Consider the following 27,602-nt stretch of genomic DNA (forward strand, 5'->3'; position numbering starts at 1 on the left):
ATACATTAAAGAGTAAATTTTGCTGTAGTGAAGACTTAACCACAGAAAGCAAAGGTTTGAAAGGACCATGATGACAACTAATCTTACCCAAGGGTCAGTTCTTTTAAAACCATTTACTCAAGGAATAATGCCTAGGAGCCTTCAATATCTTTTATAGGCAATTAGTTCATTTCCTTAAATCAGTTACATAACCCATATAATCTGGCAAAGGCAAGTTAGAATTGTAAAAGTAAATAAATCCTTCCCCTTGTTAAAAGGCTCACACAGAAATCAGCCTAGACAAGAATGATTACATTACAAATGTTATTTAGTCCCACAAAGCCTAAAGCAAACTAATCAAAATAAGAAATACAGATCTTCTCTCCTGTACAAATCAATTCCATAATAAGTGAAATCCAGAAATAAATTTCAAAAGGAAAACTAGAAAACAGTCGACAATTAACAGAACTTTTTGAGGATTTTTTTTTTAAATCACTTCAAACTAAAGTCACTGTTCCAAAATAAGATATACACAGCATTTTGGAAACACACAGGAAGAAGATCAACACAGAAAATGGAATAGGATAAAATGGAGGGGTTTTCTACTGCTCTAAAGATGGCTCTATTTCACACGGCAGAACCTACATGTATGTCCACTAAATGCTTCAATCTACTTCTATGTTAAAAACAAAATGACAACAACAAACGCAATGTAAGAACCTAAAAGATTTGTTGAAAATAAAAATATGACTGCTTAACTTAAAATTCACTACAGTAGCCCGCCAACCTCTTATCCACAGAAGATATGTTCCAAGTTCCCCCATATATCCCTGAAACCATGGATAGTACCATGCCCTATATAACTGTATATACCTATGACAAAGTTTAATTTATAAACTAAGCACAGGAAGAGATTAACCACAATAAATAATAATAAATGATAAAATAGAACAATTATAACCATATGCCAGTATCATTACTCTTGCACTTTGGAGCCATTATTAAGTAAAATAAGGGCTGCTTGAACACAAGCAGTCAATACCCACAGTAAATCTGATAACCAAGAGGGTTACTAAGTGACTAACAGGTGGATAGGGCAGGTAGTATATACAGCATGGATACGCTGGACCAAGGGGTGATTCTGTCAGGTGGGACAGAACAGGAGATTTCATCACACTACTCCAGTGAACAACTTGAAGTTTATGAATTATTTCTGGAATTTTCCATTTAATATTTTTGAACTGCAGTTGACTCTGGATAACTGAAACCATGAAAAGTAAAACCATAAATAAGGGTGGACTACTGTACAGTACTAACAGTAAAATGGACAATTTTGAAACTCCTCCTCAGATTCGCTAAATGATTGACCTTGTACATTTTCTTATTTTTCTGCAGCTTCCCAGGTATATTGGAAGAAAGACAGAAGACTGAGAGACTTCTAGCTAGACACCATTTTAAACAAGACTATACAATTGTTTCCTAGATCCAAAGGCAATATATCAATGTACAATTTTTTTAAAGTAATTCTATTTGAGGCCAAAATAATAGAGTGTATTAGTTTTCTTTTCCTGGGTAACAAACTGCTATAAATTTAGCAACTTAAAGCCACACACAATTACTGTCTCAGAGTTAACTCATGGATCAGGAGTTCAGAATGCCAGTATTACTACTGGGTCTGGGTCCTTTGTTCAGAGTCTCACCAGGCTGAAATCATGGTGTCAACCATTGCTGTGGTCTCTCTCACCTGGAGCTCAGAGTCCTCTTTTAAGCTATTAAGGTTGTTGGCAGAATTCAGTTCCTTGTGGTTGTAGGACCAAAGTCCCCATTTTCTTGCTGGCTGTCAGGTGGGGATCATTTACAGCAACTCAAGGCTGCCTACAGTTTCCTGCCATGTGGCCTTCTCCAAAAATGGCACTTTGTTTCTTCAAGACCAACAGTAGAGTATCTGCTGGAGCACTGAATCTTTCTAACATCTTCTATCTCTGACCTCCTGGCCCTCTTTTAAAGGATCTCCCCTGATTAGATCAAGCCCACTCTCTCAAGAAAAAGTGATTTTATTGGATGTACATACAAGGTGGCAAGAATCCTGGAGGACATTTTAGAATTCTGTTTAACACATGCAATTAAAGAAAAAGAGCTTCCTAGTGATAAAGTTCTATCTAAAGACCTTTAGATTTTAAACCACATGCAATTAAAGAAAAAGAGCTTCCTAGTGATAAAGTTCTATATAAAACCTTGCATACAAAAGAATGCATAAGCCACATATGCTTCAGAGGATCCTCAAATAGTATTTTTTGTGTTTTATCTTTTAATAAAATTGAACAACAAACAGTTTGAGATTATAATCTCAGATAACTTTATTAGAGATTAATTTACTCATTGAAGTTTAATTAGGGTAGAACCCTTTAGTGATGTTTTGGCTGATATATCCCAAAAAGAAGCCTATGTACCAACCTGGCTCCACACTATCAAGGACAAAGTCCACCCATGGATCACTGCAGCAACTCAGGACACATTGGGTAGAAGAATAAAAAGAGGGATGTTCACCAAGAAAAAGCACTCACCTACATAATTTCTAGAAGAGCCCAGACCAACTGTCAATATTAAGTAAGACTTTCAAGTCTGTTTTCTCAGTACAATTCTAAAGAAGCATACTTAGAAATGTTTGGAAAAAGAAGTTACCATGATACAGGAGGAATATAAGAACAAGAACAAATTCTTTTTTTTTTCTTTTATTATTATTATACTTTAAGTTTTAGGGTACACGTGCACAATGTGCAGGTTAGTTACATATGTATACATGTGCCATGCTGGTGTGCTGCACCCATTAACTCGTCATTTAGCATTAGGTATATCTCCTAAAGCTATCCCTCCCCCGTCCCCCCACCCCACAACAGTCCCCAGAGTGTGATGTTCCCCTTCCTGTGTCCATGTGAAGAACAAATTCTTTAAAGCCAATACTGTGATTGTCAGACTAAAAATAATAACAAAGTTCTAAATAGCAGCAATGACAAAGCTAAAAACTGAATTAGTAAATTAGAAGGCAAACACACAGGGAAAAATGATGAAAAGATAAGATTGTGAAGAAAAAGCAAGAGACGTGGAAGATATTTATCTTTCTAGGCTATATGATAGCAGGTTATAGCAGAGACTAGCTTAGCTATTCATCAAACCTATTTCTTCTTCCTCCTGATCACATAGCTAGAGTATATTTCCAAGCCTCCTTTGCAGTGATTGACCTCTGGCCAATATAATATTGGCAGAAGTGAGATGTGCCACTTATAAGCTTGATCCCTAAAAAACCTCCAGGCATTACTTACTCTCTTTCCCCTTCTGTGGTACCCTTGAAAGCCACAAGGTGGAAGAGTCCTAGATCTCTTGAGAGTCACCCACCAGGGACATGCACTTTGGTATTTACATAAGCAAAACATAAAATTTCTATTATTAGATTTTAGAGTTTGTCTGTTATAGCAGGGAACATTATTTAATGAATACAGAAACAGGTGTTGGAAATATGGTGTTGCCCCCAACAAAAAAATCTAAAATAAAAGACATGGGTTTAGTGGTCAGGCAGTGGGCAGTAAGAACATATATTTAACAAGTTAAAAGGCTGAAAAGCCCTATAATACTGTGGCAAAACAACTGGTAAAATTGGAACCTATAATAAGTGAATAGGCATACCACATCCCTACTGGGCCTGTTGCACTATAAGTGAATAAAGAGTAAGAGTTATAGTGTACACTGGTATTCGCTTTCTGCTTTTGGCAAGGTAGTGCATAAAAACGATAAGCTCAGAAAAGTATTAGCTCATTTGCAGACTGAATTTATAGGGAAAGAAGTAGTCCCAGAAACTTAGGCCTCACAGAGTTAGAAAGGTGAACACATACAGATCTTAAACAATATGAGAAAAAAAAAATAGTAAAGGCTTATGCAATGAAGTCCCAAGAAGGCTTCTAGTTCAACAAAGTGACTCAACTCTAAGGCAGAGATCAGATTCAAGCATGATCTTACCACCCACTGTTTCACATCACCTCAATGTAAGGCCATCAAACTGAGAAAGAAGCATGAAGCAAGGGCTATGCTCCCCAACCTCCACTACTTTCCCAAAGAGAGGAGAAGAAAAATAAAATAATTCTTGAAAATTATATTTAGGGAAGAACAGTGGGTATGGTGTCTGCACAGAACCTATTGGAAAGAAAAAGATGAGATGCCTACTACATTTTGAGGGAATGATAATGTCAAAAAAACACAAATGTGGACTAAATTTTAATAAACGTTTGTGCCAGGCACAGTGGCTCATGCCTGTAATCCTAGCACTTTGGGAGGCCGAGGCGGGTGGATCACGAGGTCAAGAGATCGAGACCATCCTGGCCAACATGGTGAAGCCCCGTCTCTACTAAAAATACAGAAAACTAGGGAGGCTGAGGCAGGAGAATCACTTGAACCCGAGAGGCAGAGCTTGCAGTGAGCCGAGATTGCACCAATGCACTCCAGCCTAGTGACAGAGTGAGACTCCGTCTAAAAAAATTAAAATAAACGTTTGTTCAGAACCTTAAACCAACCCTCAGGCAAAAAGCAAAAAGCAGGCAGTAAAAGACATATATAAATGTAAATGTAGACACAATTGCAGATATAGATATATAGATATAAAGAGAGAAAGAGAAGTATGCCTCCTAAGGAATGTATATTTCCCAGCATCTACTTCAGAAGTATACATTTAAAATATATATATAATATATAAAAATAAAATATGTACATAAATATATATAATATATAAAAATAAAATATATATATGAAAACAAGGAAAAGCCAGCGTGCAGCTAGGAGCTCAAGAGAACAATGAGCAAAGGAGTTCCTTCCAGGGAATCAAGGTCTAAGCAAGGAAATTCCCCTACTACCAGAGCAGAGGAACTTCACGGGGCCTGCCTAAGTAGATTATATGATTTGTTATGAAGCAGAGAATATTGTTTGTCTCTGGTTCTTCCCTTTTCTAAATGAAAGGTTTTGTTATAGTTATTTTATTCTAGCTTCTTCATTGTATATTGGGGGTGGGAGGAGACACCAGTGCAGATAACTTGCAATTTTAGTTGAGTAGTTACCAGCTCATGAGGAACCATGGCTGAATCTTATGGAGAGGGTTGAGCATCCCTGGAAGATACTAGATTTTGAAATGGATGTAGTGACTACATGGGCCATTGGACTGTTGCCCCCTAAGGAAGGAGTGAGTGTGTTCTATGTATGAGAGAAAGAATGAAAAGATATTTGATGACCAGAAGGTAGACTGTGCCAGATACTAGCTATTATTCATCAAACCTATTTGCTCCTCCTGTTAGAGAATGAGTGAGATTACATTTTCCAGCCTCTCTTACAGCTAGGTATGGCTATATAATTAAGTTCAGACCAACAGAATATGGGTAGAAGTAATGTGTGGCATCCATGCCTGGCCCTTAAAGACCCTCCCACATGCAACACTCTTTGGTCTTTCCCCTTCTGAAGCAATCTTCAAAGCCATCTTAAAGATGGAAGAGCCATACAATGGAAGGATTCTAAGTACTTAAATCACCATTGCAAAGAAAACCATCACAAACCAGAAACACTATTTTGGGCTTGAGGCAGTGAGAAATAAACCACTTCCTCTCCCTCTTATCTGGGAATTCAAACATTTATTGAACACCTACTACGTACAAAGTACATGGTATTTTCTCTCTCCTATCTTCCTTACACTCTCGGTACTACAAAAGATTTTTTAATGTGTTAACATAACATATCTTTACTCAAGGATCCTGAGATGAAATATTTTATAGGAGAAATGAAGATTTCTCAGTTAATTAAAAGTCCTGGATTCACAAAAGATTTCTTCATCATTTCTTTATATGACAAAAATATAGCAAACAGCTAATAGTTTACACAGATTGAGTACCATAGTAGACAAATTCATTTCAACCCAACCTGAATTCTAATGCAGGATCTGACCTTTACAAGGTATTTGAACTTGAGGCAAGTTACTTCCCTCCTCTGGGTCTTAATTTCTTCAGATAATTAAGGAATGAGACCAGCTGGCCTCACGTTAAATAAAGTAATATTCTTCATGGCTTCCTCTTTCTTTCATCAAAAGGGAAGTAAATTAATTTCTCAAGCAGAGGCCTAGAAAAAGCAATTTTTAAAAAGGCAACTTCCATAGAGGCTTTGTACTACACTCTCCTATATTTTAAAAGCTTAGGAAAAACTGAACCAATCACAATAAAGACTTATCTTAGAAGATAGCTTCATTCCTGTATTCAAAATACGTACCCAGCAATGCTAAGGTATATTGTCACTGATTAATTTTATTTCTCCATCACTATAAGCAATGAAATCATATAATTATTTCTATCAGGTTTATCATCTAGTTTTAAACTCTGCACTTTGTGAAGTATAACACTGACAAAATTTAAAGGAAGAAAAGGGAAATATCTGCATTCCCTGAGGAAAGGGTAACTGGAGAATCTCTTTTGGAGGATCAAATAGATATTATAGATCAAATAGACATCTGAATAGATTATCAAGGCTAGTCGAGACCTAAAATATGATTTGAAATATAATCTATTCCCTCATTCCTCACAGAATGATAAAAACTACAAATGATCTATTCAAGAACACTATTGTTTACAGAACCAAAAAGTACTTTCCATAAACAACTGACTCTTGTATTTGTTGCTGTAGGCTACATCATCAGGTATACTAAAAATTTTTAATAAAATCAATGTGACAAATTTCAAGTGAGCAAATGCCATTATAAAACATTACTGACCTTTCATTCATAATTTAAAAAAAGAAATTTAGATGTTCCTTGTGACTTTGGTGACTTAGGAATGAAGATTTTTTTAACAAATGTATATACTGCTAACATATTTTTTAATATATAAGCTGTTAATAAATCCTTTTCTTTGATCATAATTCAAAGCATTTCCTAATAGGCCTTTTTTCACTGATACCTATTAATATCAGAAATATGCATATATAACATGCTATCTTGCTTACGTAGTAAATAATCAGCCAAAGACACATGCAGTACAATTTAGGTCATTAACTAGAAGGAGAACTTTAAAATATCTTAAGCTACAAATTATATGCAAAGTCAAGGGAAGTATACAAACAGTAGAAAAATTTCTTCATAACCTCAATGTAAACCATCACAACTGATCAATATTTACTGAACATCTACAGAGCAAATTGTCCATTGCTCTGTTAAAAAAATGAAAACATTTTTAATCATATGTTTCCATAAATATGAAGGACTTCCCTAAAATGATAAGAAACTTGGATAAGATAATGACTAGACACTTGGCAAAGAGAAACCTGTGTTTAACTCAATACTGATAAAGCCACTGGCCAACCTATCATAAACCCAAGACCTACTTGCTTCATGGCAGTCTCTCCAATTTTGTCTGAATGTTTGCGGATGCTCTCCAGAAAGTCTTTGAGATCGGACATAGAAACATCTTTTATTTCTTCTCGAAGCTTGGGGATGTTGTCCACCATCACCTTGCAGAATCGATAGTGGCTTACTTGAGGCAGGTAGGTATGCTCTAGATGTTCCAGAGTTTTCAGTGCAGGATAATGCCTACAAAAGGAATTGATCACCTTTAGCTCACTCAGTTTTCTTTAGGGTTAGGCAAAATGTCTAGCCTGAATTGGTTTTCACTGTGCATTAACACAAATCCAGCATGAAGTTTTAATGAGAACATCAGTGAAAAGAATCTCAAATTATTAAAAACTAATACATACTTTAAAAGACCAGGAAATTATAATCAAAAAAAGATTTTATCCAAAGAATGCATAAGATTTAAAATAGCTACCAATAAAATTAATGACATAAGAGAAATAAAAGGGGCCAGGCATGGTGGATCATGCTTGTAATCCCAGCACTTTGGGAGGCCAAGACAGGTGGATCACTTGAGGCCAGGAATTTGAGACTAGCCGGGTCAACACAGTAAAACCCCATCTCTACTAAAAATACAAAAATTAGCCAGGCCTGGTGGCGCAAGCCACCTCAGAAAGCTGAGGCATGAGAATCATTTGAACCCCGGAGGCGGAGGTTTCAGTTAGCCAAGATCACGCCAGTGCACTCCAGCCTAGAGGACGAAGTGAGACTCAATCTTAAAAAAAGAGAAATAAAAGGAAATAAAGAATGATTGTCTCAATGCCAAAAAAAAATTCATCCTATAAAATGAAGTATCCAAGGCTAGACTTCCAACTATGGCACACAGAAAAGCTTGGCAAATCTTCTATCCAAAGAAAACAAATGTAAACTATCCAAAACAACTATTTCAGGGTTCTGGAAACTAAACAAAAGAGAACAACAAATCAAGAAGTGTTTATTCATAATAACTGCTCAACAGTGGGACTCTGTAGCTTTCTTGCCTGGGGCTACTTCCAACACCCTCCCCCTCTAATTCCTCCACCCCTGGTCATTGGCCATGGCTAGTCATGAAAACCAGCAGCTTTCCTGAGATGAGGGGCTGACACAATTTGGAGCAGAGGGCAAAAAACTCATATTGAGAGATGCTGTTAGTGAAAGTAGCAAACTCAGTAAAAATAAATAAATAAATTAAGAAAAGTCTCCAGCTCTACTGGTCAAATGTTACAATTTGGGTTGGGGCAAACAACAGACCAAAGGACTAATCAGAAATTTAACGGGGAAGTCATAAAAATAAAAGACCTACAGAAGGGCTTGATAAACTCCGCAAGTTGCTAGCCGGCTGAGAGGCTATGCATACCTGCAGGCGACACCTAAAAGGGTCTAAGCAATCCACTCATCCCTGGCTGACTAGGAGGCTGTAGACAGGCACGTGGGAAACCTAAGAAGGTAGGTAAAAGTTTAAGCTGACTTTAAAACTGCTTTTAATGTAGTCCCTAACCCATATACAAACTCATTAGCAAAGACTGGAAACCTTACTCACTCAAGTTTGTTTGAGCATAACCTCTAACCAATCATTAGCTGATGACTATTTAAAAATCAAAGTGAAATATGATACCTTGCTAGATAAACAAAGACAGAAAATTCCTTGCTAGCAGACCTGCCTTACAAGAAATACTAAAGGAAGCCTGAAAGGAAATGACAGCAGATGGTAACTTGAATTCACAGAAAGAAACAAAGAACATGGGAAATAGTAAATACATGCTAAATATGAAAGACAAGTATTTTTTCTCTTTTCTTAACTTCTTTAAAAGATAAGATTTTTTAAAGCAATGATTATAACACTGTATCATTGGGTTTACAAAATATTTAAGTGTAATATATCTAACAATAACAGCACAAAAGAGTAGGAAAGAAATGGAGCTAATGGAAGCAAAACTACTGCTATATATTTACCAAATTTATAGCAGCAGTGACCTCCAGTAGACTGTGATAAGATGCATATTATAATCCATAGAACAACCTCTAAAAAACCAAAAATATATATCATTTGAAAATCAACAAAAGAATTCAAATAGTACACTAAAAATATATAACACAAAAGAAAGCAGTAAAGGAGCAACAAAAACAAAACAAAAAAAGACATGAAAAATAGAAAACAAAGAAGAAAATCCAACCATATCAATAATTACATTAAATGTGAATGGACTAAGCACTCCAATTGGAAGGCCAACATTGTCAGGACTTAAAAAGCATGATCCAACTACATATTGTCTACAAGAAACACACTTAGATTCAAAGATACAAATAGGTTGAAAGTAAAAGAGGAAAGAAGATATGCCATAAAAAAAAGAAACCACAAGGCTGGGCACAGTGGCTCATACCTATAATGCCAACACTTTGGGAGGTCAAGGTGGGCAGATCACTTGAGCTCAGGAGTTTGAGATCTGCCTGGGCAACAAGGCAAAACCTCATCTCTACCAAAAAAATTACAAAAAAATTAGCCAGGTGTGGTGGCGTGCACCCGTAGTCCCAACTACTTGGGAAGCTGAGGTGGGAGGATCACTTAAACCCGGGTGGGCAGAGGTTGCAGTGAGCTGAGATCAGCCCACTGCATTCTAGCCTGGGTAACAGAGTGAGACCCGTCAAAAAATAAAAATAAAAAATAAAGGAAACACAAAAGAGCTGAAATGGCTGTATTAATATGAGATACAAAAGACTTTAAGCCAACAAATATTGCTAGTAACACAGAGGGACATTCCATAAAAAAAAAAGGGATGATATTTGTCTAATAGGAAAGCTTCTATAAGCATAGAAGGACAAATAAAATTAAGATTAATAAAGCTGAATAGGTAGAAACGAAATAAGTTATGCAAAGAAAACATAAGAATAAAGAGAAAAACTGGTAACGTTTATTTGTAATGTGTACCTAAAAGATTAATAGGCCAGGCGTGGTGGCTCATGCCTGTAATTCCAGCACTTTGGGAGTCTGAGGCAGGCAGATCACTTGCGGTCAGGAGTTCAAGACAAGCCTAGGCAACATGGTGAAACCTCTTCTCTACTAAAAATACAAAAATTAGTCGGGCATGTTGGTGGGAGCCTATAATCCCAGCTACTCAAGAGGCTGAAGCAGGAGAATTGCTTGACCCTAGGAGACGGAGGGTGCAGTGAGCTGAGATCACACCACTGCACTCCAGCCTGGGTGATAGAGTAAGACGCCATCTCAAAGAAAAAAGGTTAATAAACTTGAGTTGTTTTTGTAAAAAAAAAAAAAAAAAAAAAAAATGAACAAAGAAAATTCACAAAAGAACCAAAAAGGGCCAACATATGAAAAAAAAAAAAAAATGTTTAACTGATATGTGAAAAAATGCAAATCAAATTGCCAAATATTTCTTAAAAAATAATTTGTAATACATCAGGGGTTTCAATAATGGAATTCACAGCCAGCTGACAAACAGGTTTTTATTAATGACACAAGTTTTCAATGAAGAATTTTAGCAAAACAACTATTTTAAGCAATTGCATTTCCAAACAAAAAAAAGATGCACAGCAGTATGTATAAGCCTCTTGAATTATAGAATTATTTATATTAGCAAATAAAAAAACTAACCTAGATGTCTAATAAGAAGTAGTAAAAGGCTAATAAAATAGCAAAATGTTTACAATATTGTTGAATGAAAATCATTTCAAAAAATAGATCTAATTGCCTCTTGGCCTTTTGGCTAAGATCAAATTTAATATCTGATATATCTTATCAGTTTAATATCTGATACATCCTCTTATCAGAGGACAATATTTATTAAATGGATTTTTGCAGCAGGGAGATAAAATGGGAACTTATTTAGTCCACTTCATGCATCAACCTGGCATTGCAGTACCTCCAGGAATGGTGCTCTAATTGAAAAAAAAAAAAAAAAGATCTTACAAGTATAATCATAATATTCTTCAAAATTATAAATACTTACACATATAAATTATGAACATGTATGCATATATGAGATATATATCACTGGAAACACACACACACACAAAAGTAGAGAGCAAAATGAGAAAAATAAATACAAAAATGTTAGGCATATTTTTCCTTTGGATGGCAATATTACGAGCTAATTTCCTTTGGATGGCAATATTACAAGATAATTTTCTCCTTCATACTTTTAATTTCCTAATTTCCATGTTTCCCATGATATATTTGGTATAGGAAAAATTCAGTTCCATCCTTAAAAAGAAAAAAGACTTATAGCTCTATTTTGGACTTTAAGAATGATTTTCACAGCAGATACTTAAACTCTTCTTGCTCTAATGAATTTAGTACCACAAATGCTAAAGACTAGAGACTGGTTTTACTTGGTTTTTTTGTTTTGTTTTGTTTTGTTTTAATGTTTTCCCTCATGTGTTCCAAAAATCAAAGTCTTTGTTTAAGTAAATGGAGGGAAGAAAGTTTTATTCCCCCTAAATTTAGAAATAAAAGTACAAATATAGTTAAATCTGAAATCATTGCTCTTATTAAAATTTTACAGGCTCAAAAACAATACAATTCACATGGTTTAGTGTAAACAGAATGGTGTTTATACTACAATTAGGTATGAAGAGCTATGTGCAATAAAATGCAATTCCTCTAGAGAGAAACTTTAGAACGGATAGAAAGCCAAAAATTAAGCCAAAAAGATAAACACACTTTGGGGTTTAGTTATATTTTGGAACATTGTTTATAGAATGAGGAAAATTCAACAATGTTGTCTGCAGACGCAAGGCACATTCACTGATGAGACACATGGCTCATGCTGAAAACATCTGGTCTGTCAAATAGCTCCACATTTTTCAAGGCTAATTAGTACAAAACCCAGTGATTCCTGGCAACAAAGAATGTCACCCTATTTCCCCATTTTCCCTTCCCAGTATAGTCACATTTTAACTATAACAAATCAGTAATATTCAAATGTCTAGTCTATTTCAATATCCGTGACAGGTTAAAGAATGATAGCCAACTAACACCTGTATAGCAGGCACCAAAAGAAAAAAAATATGTCCAGTGACCACGGAAATCCAAAATTAGATTTTGATGTACTTTTGACAATCTCCAAACATTATTAAAACTGAATCAAAAGGCAAATTCCTAAGTTTCACTTGTATGTGTGGTCACTCTCTCCCCTCTTCTCATGCAGGCTCCTTAACAGAGATGCAATCAGAACTAAAGTAAAGAAAATAAAAGCAGAGAATAAAAGGGAGGAAGGCAGGGAAAGAGGTTCTAAATAATCCTACAAACTGAGTAACCATGATCAGAATAACAGACATGGTTGAATGCTAAAGCAAGAAGAAGAATATTGATTCCAAGCAAATTAAATTTTGGTACTTTCTTGCCATACCATGGAATTCTTTCACAGTGATGGTTTCTAAAATTCTAGGAAGTGATCCTTGAAAGCAAATTGCAACTATCTATAAGAAATTTTTTAAAATTCAGAGTATGATAAAATATGAAATAAAAACTTTCATCACAGAAAAATATTAGTGTCATTCCTAATCAAAGAGCATCATTAACAAATACGTAATTTCTTCTGTGCGCTAGAGATAGAAAGATGTTCAGATGTCTTTCCCTAGGGAGCACAAAATGCAGTAGAAAAATCAGTATTTATAGCTTAAAAAAAAAAAAAAAAAAGACTTCTAGCTACGAAAGCCTAACAAGGAACAGACATGATCTCTCACTTTATAAACAAGTAGAATATTGGCAAAAATATATGAAACAGCCATTTTCAGACATTGGACATCAGGCAACATAGAACTGCTATCTCTGTAAAAAGAGAAACAAACAAGGTGAGTTTAATAATTACCAGGATTATCTACCTAAAGTTGACTTCTAGGTCATGGGCACAGCCAGAAAAAATCAAAACAGAGCTCAGCAGCCTTGCTGACTTAAAGAATCAGTGATAGTAGCTCAGGAAAGTTGATTCAGCTTGAAGTTGTGTGGCAGAGTTCCCCAAAAAAAGAGCAATGCAGAAAAAGAACTGCAGAAATTTACACAGGGGTTCCCTTGAGTCTGCTAAGTACTAGGACAGGCATAGAGAAAGTGAAATTCCACATGGATAGGTAAAAAGAAGGAAGGAAGGGAGAGAGTGGGAGACCAGCCAGGGGAAGGTAAGATGAACACTTCCACAATCTCAGACAAGGCAGATAAACATTCAAACTCTGAACAGTCAAAATGAAGAGTCGTTGGGGACTCCTGAGCTATTCAGAGTAGATTATAGACGGATCAAGTCTTACTTAGTAAAGCTGAACTTCCCTGGAATAAAGGTGGGCCTTTAAGCAGAGCTTAAAAATTGGGTTTGAAGGTAACAAACTGATCTGCAATCAACTCACCATTCGCTAAAACAAAGCCCAACACTCTCTAAAGGAAAAAAAAAGCACCCCAAAATCCAGAGACTCATCAACATAATGTTCATTAATCAATCAAAAATTTCTGGACATGAAAAGAAGCAAAGAACTGACCTACAACCAGGAAAAACAAAATCAATCTGCAGAAAGATCTAAAAAAATACCAGAAGTGGCAGAATTCGCAAAGGAGTACATAAAAACAGCAATTAGAACAATGTACATGTATGTAAAGAAAAACAAATAATAAAAGAAATAAAACATAAAAAGCTAAATGTAACTTCTATACATGAAAAATATATTATCTGCAATGAAAATGTCACTGAAAGGGACTAAAACATTACACAATGCAAATGAGAGAGATCAATGTGCTCGAACACAGCCATAAAATCTATCTCAAATAAAGCACAGAGAGGGCTGAGGGGGTGGGGAGAAAAGATCTTCAAGTCACCTGTGGGGTTAATCAAGCTGTCCAACATAAATATTAATATAACTAAAGTCCCAAAATGGTGATGGGAAAAGGACAAAAAAAGAGTTTGTAGAAATCAGGTCAACATTTTCCAGATTTTATGAATATTGTAAACCCACAGATCCAAGAAGCTAAACAAACCACAAGCAGGATAAATACACACATGTGTGCACATATTTACACCAAAGTGCACAAAATCAAACTGCCTGAAAACAAATGATAAAGACAAAAGTTTTAAAGCAGCTAGAGAAAAGACATACTACTTACAGGGAGACAAAGGTAAGGCTACTTATACATCTCTCAGAAGCCAGAAGACAATGAAATCATCATGTCTTATAAACTAATGAAACTATAAACCTCAAATTCTATATCCATCAAGGATTTTTTTTAAATGAAGGTAAACAATGAGATACTATTTCACACCCACCAGGATGGCTACATTAAAGTCAAATAATAAGGATTTTTTTTTTTTAAACAGACTCTCACTCTGTCGCCCAGGCTGGAGTGCAGTGCGCCATCTCGGCTCACTGCAACCTCCGCCTCCCTGGTTCAAGCAATCCTGATGCCTCAGCCCCTCTGAGGAGCTGGGGTTACAGACACAGACCACCACACCCGCCTCATTTTTGTATCTTTAGTAGGGATGGGGTTTCACCATGTTAGCCAGGCTGGTCTCAAACTCCTGGGCTCAAGCAATCTGCCCACCTCGGCCTCCCAAAGTGCTGGGATTACAGGCGTAAGCCACCACACCTGGCCTGGGTAGACAATAATAAGTATTGGCTAGGCTATGCAGAAATTGGAAACATCTATGCTGCTGTTGGGAAGATAAAAAGGTGCAGGTGCTTTGGAAAAGAATCTAACAGTTCCTCAAAATGGTAAAACATACAGAGAGACAAAGTGCACCAAATGTTTACCATGCGACCCAGAAATTCTACTCCTAAGTATATTTGCAAGAAAACTGAAAGCATATGCTCACACAAAAGCTTGTAAATGAACATTTGTAGCAGCATTATTCGTAATAGTTAAAAAGTGATAATAACCTAAATGTCCATCAACTGATGAAAAGGTAACTAAAGCAGTATATATACAATGAGAGAGTATTCAGCCATAAAAAGGAATGAAACAGTGATACATGCTACAACATGAATGAATTTTGAAAACCTTCCATTATGCTAAGTGGAAAAAGTCAGACACAAAAGGCTGCATATTGTATGATTCCATTTATATGAGATGTTCAGAAGAGGCAAATCTATGGGGTCAGAAAGTAGATTAGTGGTTGCCAGGGCAGCGAGGAAAGAGGAATGGGTACCCTTTTTGGGGTAATGAAAATGTCCTAGAATCAGCTAGTGATGATGATGTTACAACCACGTGAATGTACTAAAATCTATTCAACTGTACACTTAAAAATGATGAATGTTATGATATATGAATTGTAATTCAATTTAAAAACTGAAGGTGAAATAAATACTTTTTTCAGAAATACTGTATTTCTGAGAGAATTCATAGCCAGCAGACTGATCCAACAAGAAATATTAAAGGTTGTCATTTAATCAAAAGGGAAAAATAATACCAGATACAAACTTGGATCTACATTTAAAATAATGTGGGTAAAATGTGAGAGTTTTTCTCTTTAATTTTTAAATTTCTTTAAAAGTTACAGCAAAAATGAACATGTGTGGCACTACACTATATTGTTGTCATAGGTCTTATGACATAATAACTTAACAATAATAACATAACAACAATGACATAAGGGAGGGTAAAATGGAAGAATATCATTATAAGAATCTTGCATTGTGTGTGATTTGGTGTAATATTTAAAGACTCATTGTAAGTCATACATTGTAAAGATAGAAGGAACCAGGAAAAAAATAAAATACAGTCAGCCCTTCATATTTGCAGGTTCCAGATCTATGAATTCAATCAACTATATTGATCAAAAATATTTTTTAAAAAACACAAATAAAACCAAACAGTGTAACAACTACTTACATAGCATTTACATTGTATTAGGTATTCTAAGTAATCTAGAGATGACTGAAAGTTTTCGGAGGATGTGTATAGGTTGTACGCAAATACCATGCCATTTTATATAAGGGACTTAAGCGTCTACACCTAGTCCCCTATCCCAGGGGTTCTGTAACCAATACACTGAGGATACCAAGGAAAAATTGTAAAACAAAGAGGTATAAATAATAGGGCATTACTAAATATAAAACAACAACCTGAAATATAGAAATTGATTTTTTAAAAAGATAAGAATACACAGAAGGAACAAAGAACAGGTAGGATAAATGGAAAATACATTAGAAGACAGTAGATTTAAACCCGTATGTTGATAATTGTATGAAATGTAAAAGATCTAAATAGTCTCATTTAAAAACAGAGATGGCCAGATGAGAGATTTTTAAAGAAAGCAAGATCATTCTACAGAATAACTGGCCTGTAATCTTCAAAAGTAATAAAGTCATGAAAGGCAAGGAAAGGCTGAAGACAGTTCCAGACTGAAAAAGACTAAAGAGACATGACAACTAAAAGCAACATGTGATTTGAACTGGATTCTTTTGCTAGAAAGAACATGATTGAGACAATTGGCAAAACTTGAATTGGGTATGCCGATTAAGTGCTAGAAATATTTCAAAGCTAATGTCCATTCTCTATCGCACTGTGGTTGCATAGAAGAATGTCTTTATCTGTAGGAACCACATTAAAGTAATTGGGGATGACGGTGTGTCATGTTAGCAACTTACTTTCAACTGGTTCAAGAAAAAGACACCGTTATTTATACTGAACTTAAGAAGGTCTAAAACTAAAATTTTTTGAAACCCACAAAATAAATTTGATTATACCAAAACTTAAAACTTCTACGCAACAAAAACTACTAATTATATAATGTTAATAGGTAAGCCATGCATTGGAAGACAATATATAACAGGAAAAGGCATCCAAAGTATATAATTCCTATAAATGAAAAAGAAAACAATAAACAACCTAAAAGTGGTCAGGAAGTAGATGAGAGAAAACCCACATGCCTAAAACCTAAATTCACTAATAATCTAATAAAAATAAAATAAAAATCACAATAGTGATCTATCATTTCACAATCACGAGAGACTGGCAAAAACCAAAAAGTTTGACAATATAGATGTTACCAAGAGGTAGAATAACAGGACCTCCCACAAAATAACAATGGTAGGATAAATGGGAAATCACCATAGAGAACAACAATAAGATCAAAGACAATGTAAACCCTTTCTTTGATCCAGCTGATCTCCTTCTAGATATAGACCCTAGACCAACAGAATTGGCATCACCTAGGAACGTGGCAGAAAATGCAGAATCTCAGAAATGATCCCAGCCAGACCTATTCAATCAGAATCTATATTTAACTAATCCCTATGATATCATTTCCATGCATAGCAACATCTAAAAAACAACACTCTCAAGAAATTTTGAATGTGAGTCCAAGGAGACAAGAACAAGGATATTCATTGTACCACTGTCTGTCATAACTACTGGAAACATACCAAATGTCCCTAATAGTATCAGTAAGGATAGTTATAGTAATAACCACTCCCAAACTCTCAGTGACTTAAAACAAAGATTTAAAACTTACTCATGTTATATACTCATAATGGGTTGGCAGGTATGCTATGCTCCCTGAAGTGACTCAGGGACTCAACCAGCATCTTGGAGTTGCCATTTTTCAAGAACAAGGGAAAATAAGAGAACTCTGGAGCAAAATTAAATGCTAAGCCCAAAAGTGATACATATCACTTCTGCTCACATCTTATCAGCCAGAAAAAGTCACATGGAACTGGGAACCCAGGAAATATACACAGGGAACCCAGGAAATATAATATTACCTTGCACCAAAGGAAGCAGCTAGAAATATTGGTGAACAGCACTTATGATAATCACTGGAACTGGCAGGGGAAATGTGAACTATTCATATAATAGACTACCATGGAGTGATTAAAACGAGCAAACTGTATCTATACACATAAAGAAAATAAGCTGCCTACTAGTATGCAAGCCCCAGAGGGTAGATATTTTTATCTATTTTATTCACAGCTGTATCCCCAGAACCAAGAGTAATGCCTAGCGCATAGTAGGTACTCGATTCATCTTTGTTGAGCGAATACACAGATCTCAAAATGAGGACTGAGAATCATCTACATAAACTTTTTTAGACACAAAACAAAACAATATATGATTTATAAATATTAAAAGCACAGAATAGAAGAACATTCAATAAATTTATGATACTGGTTTCCTCAGGGGAGTAAGGAAAGGAATAGGACCAAAGAAAGGAACATAAATTTTAACTGTAATTTTTTAAAGTATATATATACCTCTTTCTGTCCATATATATGTTTTATATATATACTATATATTTTTTTTCTTTACACATATATGAATCAAAACTAGAAAATTGTTAATATCTGTTAATTCTGAGAAGTTGGTACACAGGTGATTTTTTTTTTTTTTTTTTGAGACAGATTCACTCTGTCACCCAGGCTGGAGCTCAGTGGTGCAATCTTGGCTCATCACAACCTCTGCCTCCCAAATTCGAGCTATCATGTGAGCCAATTCTCATGCCTTGGCCTCCCAAGTACCTGGGATTACAGGTGTGTACCACCATGCCCAGCTCCTTTTTTTGTTTTTTAGTAGAGATGGGGTTTCTCCATGTTGGCCAGGCAGGTCTTGAACTTCTGGCCTCGAGTGATCCACCCGCCTCAGCCTCCCAAAGTGCTGGGATTACAGGTGTGAGCCACTGAACCTGGCTCATGGGTGATTTTAAATTCTCTATAATTTTAGAACTTTACTAAAAGGATATTAGGGAACTAATAGTACCTTCATATCTCAGACAGAACTTCTCATAGTGTTCTATCCATGTTCTCTTATGAGAGCATGTCCTACTATTTTAATGTCTAATGATTCAGCTTCACAATTCTTGAGAATTTTGAATTTTTATCCATATTTATATTCTTATCTCAATATTAAATATATTTTAATTGTATACTTTTTCCCTCAAAACCTAGGTAAAATTAACATTCCAGGAAGATATGCTTTGATTATCCTATAGCTTCATATATCCCCATCATACTACAGGGCATCTCAGGGCAGAGAGGTTGGAGATGCTTATTCTAGTTTGGGGAGCAGAACTATAGAGTCACTGTAGATTTTCCTTTAGAAGAAAACAACATACAGAAGAGAAATCCTCTGAATTTAACCTCACCCTTCCCCTTTACAATAGTTAATTTTATGTGGCAACTTGGCTGACCAGAGGAGCCAGATATTTGGTCAAACATTATTCTAGATGTTTCTGTGATGGTATTTTTTAGATGAGATTAACATTTAAGTCAGTAGACTATGAGTAAAGATGATTACCCTCCATAATGTGAGTAGGCCTCATTCCACCACAGGTGAAAACCTTAATAGGAAAAAGGCTGACTGTGCCCAAGGAAGAGGGAATTCTACAGAAGAGTCCCTTTGGACTCAAGCTATTATCTTAACTCTTCACTGGACTCTAGCTTGCTGGACTACACTGCAGCTTTTGCTATACTTGCTATACTCCACAATCATGTGAGCCAATTCCTTAAAATAAGTACTTCCCTCTCCAGTAGGTAAACAGACAGAGACACACACACACACACACACACACACACACACACACACACACGCTATTGGTTCTGTTTTTCTTAAGAACCCCAGTTAATGTACTCTTGCACCAAAACCAGTACTATTTTCTTCAAGGACACTATTAAATGAATCAAAACATATCTCAAACCAACTATCACTAAAATAGGTATATGCTTTTCCCTAAAAGACTGGGTCTTTTAAAAATCTAACTGTAAGTATTATTTATTAAACATAATACATGACAGAACACATTAGCATACCACTAATATATATAAATAAATCTAGAATGAATCAATAAATATACAAAAGGTTAAGATGTTAGAAACTTAATTTTTTGAAAAGTTATGCTAAATATGGACCTAAACGTATTCTAAACAACAGAAATTTTAGATAGTAAAAACTGTTCGATTAAAAAAAAATCTTACCTTTTAGTTTTCATCTGGTCCCTCAGTTTGCTGTACATCTCTAGGACTTAAAAGAAAGAAAAGAATACACAAACATGATTTAGAGAAAGCCTAATTAAAGCAAAAAAAAAATTACACCAAGAATCCTTCTCCATTTCCAGTTCCTCACCTGGAAGACACAGCATTAATTTATCAACAGTGGCAGAAATATTTCTCTGTTGTAGTCGACACTGCTTCAGCTCTTCCATTGCTATTACCAGCTTGGCAAGAGGGAAAAAGACTGAATTATGCCTATGGCTGTAAATAAAAAGCTTTCAGTCACATTTTTCCACACTGTGTTCAATTCATCAGAAAATCCCAGACAGTTTCATAGTAAGACCTGCCAAGTGAACTAAGGAACTGCCTTTCCTAACCAGTAAAACATTCCTGCACAGTTTCCCGCTTTCTCCCCAAGATACATACAATACTAGGAAGGGCTAGGTAAAATGAAGTCCTAAAATACAAGGGTTATCCAGGAGAAAAAAACTATCTTCAACTAAATCTCTATTTCAACAAATAAACCCACACACTTAAAAGATGTGGCCTTTCTAAAAGTTACAGTTTGTTGAAAAGTAATTCACTTTTATTCCCCTAGCCCCAGTTTTAAGGGCTTCTATCAGAAGTCATACCATAATATAACTAGAAGAAATTGTACTCCACAGAATTTAGAATGTGAGACAAACTTCTTCAAAAAGTAATAATCTACACATCTACTTGCAGCATTCATCCTATACCCATACCTAAAAATGTTATTATCTGCTTAGATACCATGCAGAAAAGAACAAGAGAATGGTCCTAAGTCACTGATAAAACAATCAAAAGCTAATCTTAAAGGTTATTAAAATTAAACATCAAAAAAGTATTAGGTGATAAGAAAGAAGCATGATAACAGAGAACAGTCATGTACTACAAGTCAGAAAACCTGGGTTTTAGTCCCAGCCTTGCCAATAACTATGTAAAATACAGCAAATCATTTGTTTTAGTTTCCTCATCAATAAAACAGTGATAATACCTGTCCTGATTTTGTCGGCCATGAGGATCAAATGAGCAAATAGATATAAAAATATTGTAAACTGTGATGGTTTAAATGGTAAATATGTCAATCAATAGAATCAATGATTTTTTTTATGGTGGGGGGATAGAGATGGGGTCTCCCTTTGTCACCCAGGCTGAGAGTGCAGTGGCGCAATCATGCCTCAATGCAACCTCAAACTCCTGGGCTTAAGAGATCCTCCCACCTCAGTCTCCCAAGTAGCTGGGACTATAGACATGCACCTCCACGCCTGGTTATGGTTGTTTTTTTTGTTTTGGGGGGCAGGTAGAGATGGGGTCTCACTATGTTGCCCAAGCTGGTCTCAAACTCCTGGCCTCAAGTGATCCTCCCACCTCATCCTCCCAAAGCACTGGGATTAGAGCGTATAATCTCAGCCACTGTGCCTGGTTGATTAATCTTTTAAATAAATATTTGTTGAGCATCCACACTGTGCCAGTCACTATTTAGGTAGATGGAGGGGATACAGCAATGAATAAAGCAAACAAAAATTCCTAATCTCATGGAGTTTAATTTCCAATGGAGAATGACATACAAAAAAAAATATAAGTAAAAAATATGTTAAATATAATATCAGAGCATGACAGGCACAATGAAGAAAAAGTGGGAAAGGATCAAAAGAATGCACGGGTGAGAGTGAGACTACAATTTCAAATAAGGTGGTTAGGAAAGGCCTCATTAAGAAGGCAACATTTGAGCAAAGATTTGAAGAAGGTGAATATTGAGGAAATAACATATCAGGCAGAGGAAGAGCATTACTGTATTATGACAAGTCGATGATTTAAAAGCACAACTAAGAAGCCTGTATCCTGTCTCCTTAGACTTCCCAGTGACTATGTTCATTTAATTCAGATAAACATTAGGAAAAGCAACAATAATGTCCAAGTACTTCCAACATACTACTTACAGTCTTAACCACTAAATGAATAACATAGTCATTAAAAGAGAGTGGCATGAAACAGAAAAGATTTCTTCAAAAGGTAAACTGGTCTTACTTCCTTTCCCTCATGTTGTAGTTTTCTATTAGTATCCGTCACTTGATTCTGTGGAGAGAAGACAATTTAAACTCATAAAAAACAAACATTTAGACAATAGTTGAAAAAGATCTAAATTTAATATGAAAAGATTAGGAATAGGCAGTTAAATATTTTCAGTACTCCACTACATATTGGTCCAGTGGCATTCTCTTGGGTTTAAATTATGTCAACTTTTCTACTGGATGTTTGCATGACCTTTTGAAAAGAAAAATTTGCTAACAAATATGGTGAGTTTAGAACAGTTCTAAACTAAGCTACCATAATAACTAAAGATCGCACTTTAACTTTGGGGAGACAAGAGGAAAAAGGGGAGAGAAAAATAAAATAGAAAGTACAAATTTTATACAGATATTCCTCATTTCACCAATGTATTCCTAGAAAAGTTGGGTATACACTGAACTTGTTAACTCAAGTCAAAGTTTCCCTGTTTGCTTATTATCTTATTTTTAGAAAATGCTTTACCTTAATTCTTTTTGGATCATTAATTCTTAACAGCTCCTAACACTTCCATACTTCCATTTTTCCAATATAATCTCTCCATCAGATAGTCAAAAATTTGTGAATAAGCCCTTAAATGATCCAGAGTTCATTATATAAAGGAAATGGCATCTACTTTTTTTGATATTCACTCTTGACATTTCAATGATGGAAAAAATTAATTATATAGGATAGTAATTTCCTCATCATCTGTGATATCAAAACATAAGCAATACTAACTTCTAAAATGTTGTTTAATAAACGCTTTCTAGCCTTCCACCAGTAATTGCTACTCCTTATACTTTTAGTGCATCCCCTAACCTAGCATTTCCTATTATGTCCCTTAGGACATCAAGAAGTGTTACTTAGCAGGTACTCTGCACATGCACACAGCCATGCACATGCGAGCACACACAGTCTCACAGACATAAACACACACACAAATACACACGATATGATATGCACTGTAAATGCCCAAGAAAGGGATATCATATAGGATGTTTTCCAAATTTATCTAACGTAATACCCTTTAACTGAAGATCTTCTCAAGGAGCTAGTTTTTTAAAAGAATACACTTTTGAAATCACTGCTCTGAACGATACACTATACCTGGACTATCATTCAAAGCAGATTACCATATGCACCTCCATCCAAAGCCAAAATGAAATCTGAACTCCTCCAGGAAGCCTCTTTAAAGTACCAGAAAGGGAGGCAAGAAATCAGCAAATTCCCTCTTTATTATTTAATTAATGGCACCACATGTGAAACACTTTGTGGTTTTATTGCACTGAGCTCAATACAAATTAAGAGTGATAAAGCCGTCCAAAATGCACATCTAAGACAATGTTAATGGAAGCATTGTCTAAAAGGGGGTCAGCAATCTGTTTCCATAAAGGGCTAGATGGTAAATATTTTAGGCTTTGCAAGCCATACAATCTCTGTTGTAACTATTCAACTCTACCTCTGTAGCAGGAATGCAGCCATAAAGAAAATAAAGGTAAATGAAAGGTCATGGCTGTGTTCCGATAAAACTTTATTTACACAAACAGGAGGCAAGCTGGATTTGGCCTAAGAGACAGAGTTTGCTAACCCCTGGTCTAGAATAAACGTGATGGTAAGGTAGTAATACCACACTATGAAATTTACAATTGGATGCCACATTTTAAGAAGGCTTTACAAGCTGAAGCATGGTTAGAAGTGAACACATTTGCAGAGGGAGTCAAAGCTAACCACAGGAAAAACAGATGAAGCCATTTTTAGCCAAGAAAGGGGAAAAATATTCACTTGGAGACACTATACCCCATACCTGGACCCTATATACTATAAACCAAACTTAAACAATGGCTGCCCTTCAAATATCTGAAGAGCTATCAGAAGTAAAGTGGCTCCGTAAAAATGGAGCTTATTACTCAAACCAATGTTTGTTACTAGAAAACAGTATTCAGCTCAATATAAGAAAAAGTGTTCAAGCAATGTGAATAAAAATCATACGGGCTTCCTTGGGTGATAATGCTATCCCCATTACAGTAGTTATTCAATAATAAATTAGATATTTTTTATCCTAAACTGGAGGTCTCCTAAAATACAACCCTCCATAATACTCCTAAATTCAGCAACATTATCTACTAGAGTAGCCTTGTTTGCCTTATGAAGGCACCATTTCTCACTTTTTTTCACCTTAAACTCACTGTAAAAAATACATTTTCCATTGCAACTCAGTACACAAGTATAGGGAACACACACACAATTTTCAAGAAACAATGTTTATCCTTAGTACATGTAATGCACTCTCTTGTTTTCTATTCAATTCGATTATATTTAATTTCAGTTTTTGTCAAAAATACTGATCAAGGCACACTAAATTAATTTCATGCAAACCATGGACGTAAAACATATCCCTAGGAACCTAATGAATGCTTCCAGTAAGAAAGATAATAACTGTGGGCTAGGTGCAGTGGCTCACACCTGTAAGCCTAGCACTTTGGGAGTCCTTGTCAGGTGGATCAACCTGAGGTCAGGAGTTTGAGACCAGCCTGGCCAACATGGTGAAACCCAGTCTCTACTAAAAATACAAAAATTAGCTGGGCATGGTGGTGCATGCCTAGAATCCCAGCTACTTGGGAGGCTGAGGCAGGAAAATCGCTTGAACCGGGTGGGGGGACGTGGGTTGCAGGGGTGGAGATTGCAGTGAGCCAAGATCGTGCCACTTCACTCTAGCCTGGGCAAAAGAGCGAAACTCCATCTCAAAAAAATAAAGATAATAACTGTGTCAATACCATTCAATAACTATTTCAATGCGTAACAATAAAAAAAGGCCAGGCGCAGTGGCTCACACCTGTAATCCCAGCATTCTGGGAGGCTGAGGCAGCAGATCATTTGAGACCAGGAGTTCAAGACCAGCCTGGCCAACATGGTGAAACCCCCTCTCTACAAAAATACAAAAATTAGCTGGGCGTAGTGGCATGCACCTGTAGTCCCAGCTACTTAGAAGGCTGAGGCTGAGGAGAATCACTTGAACTTGGGAGGCAAAGTTTGCAGTGAGCCGAGATCACACCACTGCACTCCAGACTGGGTTGACGGAGCAACACTCTGTCTCAAAAAATTAAAAAAAAAAAAACAAAACAATAAAAAGAAACTATACCAGCTGTCTAGGATGCTACTTCATTTATTTCAAAGAAGATAAGTGTGTGTATGTATACACTGAGAATCAAAAGAAATAATGGGCATCTTAGAGTACGATTTCTTTTCATTGGTATGTTGAAATAGCATTGACAGTTGTAATACTTTTTACATTGTCTAAACTATTTCTAGAGTTCAGGAAACTTTTTTTCATTCATTGAACCTAGGTCAAATGAATCCCCTTAGAGCAGAGTCTCCCAGGTGTCCTGCTAGACATTAATCCCCTCTGCCCTCAAAGTAACTGGGTGGAGCCTGAAACAGACTAAAACCCTAAACCAGTAGCCTCCAGTTCAAGTATTCCTGCTGGGGCATCCTCAGCAAGTTGAAGGAATTTGCAACTTGAAGAAATTTGATGGAAGGCAAGGGAAGTAAGAGGAAAAGAAGATGAGTACCAACCAACAAGTGATATCAGCAATTCAGGAGCATTATGAGCTATATTCAGTACTACCCTGCCAAGGAGGTATTCTACCACACGACTACTTCGATAACCAGAGACAAAACATTGTGCTGACTATCATGGACCAGGGCACCAAGGAGCTATGGGAGAAGTGTGGGATAGAGGTGTCTAAGAAGCATAGAAAAGAACAGCCCAAGATGAGTATAGAAGATGGGATGGCTAGGTGAGGACAAATAGCATTCACAGGTCCTGGCAGGAAACCCCCTATCTCTGTTTTCACGCATTTCAGATACTTTTGTCCAGCTAAGGCTGATCAGCGCACAAAATTTAAGGATTACAAATGTATGGACCAATAAATAGAAAGACGCACTACTAAGATTCTTTAATATGGCCAGGCATGGTGGTTCATGCCTGTGATACCAACACTTTGGGAGGCTGAGACGGTCAGATCACTTGAGGACAGGAGTTCAAGACCAGCCTGGCCAACACGGCAAAACCTCCTCTCTACTAAAAATACAAAAATTGGCCAGGCATGATGGTACATGCCTGTAGTCCTAGCTACTTGAGAGGCTGAGGCATGAGGCACAAGAATCGCTTGAACCCAGGAGGCAGACATTGCAGTGAGCCAAGATTGTGCCACTGAGCTCCAGCCTGGGCAACAGAGTGAGACTCTGCCTCAAAAAAAATTAAAAAAAAAAAAGTTCTTTAATATACTTTCAGATGGTTCACTTTTTTAATAGATGTAGAAATAATTCAATGTTTTGTATCACCTACTTATGAGAAAAGGTTCTCTTGAATAGTGTCTATGAGAAATTCAAACAGGTTATCATTTTTAAAGTCTTGATTACATTTGCATAGCATATAGTCATTTTAAGCAGAAAACTAAATATTTAAAAAGTTATTTCAGGCTGAGTGCAGTGGCTCAGACCTGTAATCCCAGCACTTTGAGAGGATGAGGTGGGCGGAACTCCCAGGCTGAGGAGTTCCAGACCAGCCTAGTCAACATGGTGAAACCCCATCTCTACCAAAAATACAAAAATTAGCCAGGCATGGTGGTGCACCTGTAATTCCAGCTATTTGGGAGGCTGAGGAAGGATAATCGCTTGAACCTGGGAAGCACAGGTTGCAGTGAACCAAGATCACGCTGCTGCACTCTAGCCTAGGCAACAGAGCAAGACTCTGTCTCAAAAAAAAAAGTTATTTTACGGTAGCAAGTTCAAGTTTCTCATTTTAAAATGATGAAACATTTTAGAATGTTTAGAACAGTTCTATATGTTTAGAACATTTCTATATATTTGTAATATATCCTAATACTCTGTATTTTATTTTTCTTATTATAATACATAAAGAAAATGTAAAGATTTTTTTAAAACAAGTCTCATGTTCCCCCAAAAACACTCTAGCTTATTCTTAGGTGCCTGCCATTCAAATATGACTTTCTATGTGTGCTGTGACAAGAAAAGGGTTGGGAAGCATGCCCTAGAGGACTCACTCTATGGGTTTCTCTATGAAGTCATCAGAAATTGTTCTCAATTTACACTCTCATGTTCTCATGCATGTATACATTTTTTAGAGAGAAGATTCAAACTATTCATGAGATTCTGGCCCTCTCCATTTCATTCCCCATATGAGTGACTAGAACTACCAACTACTGAGTCACCC

General features: G+C 36.1%; 1 protein-coding gene and 1 pseudogene across 11 annotated transcripts in view; one reads left to right on the plus strand and one right to left on the minus strand.

The window, feature by feature from the left end:
• EXOC6B (exocyst complex component 6B) overlaps nucleotides 1-27,602 on the minus strand; it is a 650,050-nt gene that overhangs the window by 534,742 nt on the left and 87,706 nt on the right. For all 11 annotated transcript variants that reach the window (NR_135774.2, NR_135773.2, XR_007071495.1 and 8 more), the window contains 4 exons: nucleotides 22,346-22,393; nucleotides 20,430-20,520; nucleotides 20,282-20,327; nucleotides 7,378-7,582 (listed from right to left, as the gene is read on the minus strand). Coding sequence is in view for 8 of the 11 variants with exons in the window: in NM_001321733.2 (NP_001308662.1) it covers nucleotides 7,378-7,582; nucleotides 20,282-20,327; nucleotides 20,430-20,520; nucleotides 22,346-22,393 (390 nt within the window). In the remaining 3 variants the exon portion in view is untranslated. The remainder of the gene's footprint in view (nucleotides 1-7,377; nucleotides 7,583-20,281; nucleotides 20,328-20,429; nucleotides 20,521-22,345; nucleotides 22,394-27,602) is intronic.
• Nucleotides 11,081-11,278, plus strand: RNU2-39P (RNA, U2 small nuclear 39, pseudogene; annotated as a pseudogene).

Source organism: Homo sapiens, chromosome 2, assembly GCF_000001405.40.
Source record: "Homo sapiens chromosome 2, GRCh38.p14 Primary Assembly".
NCBI lineage: Eukaryota > Metazoa > Chordata > Mammalia > Primates > Hominidae > Homo > Homo sapiens.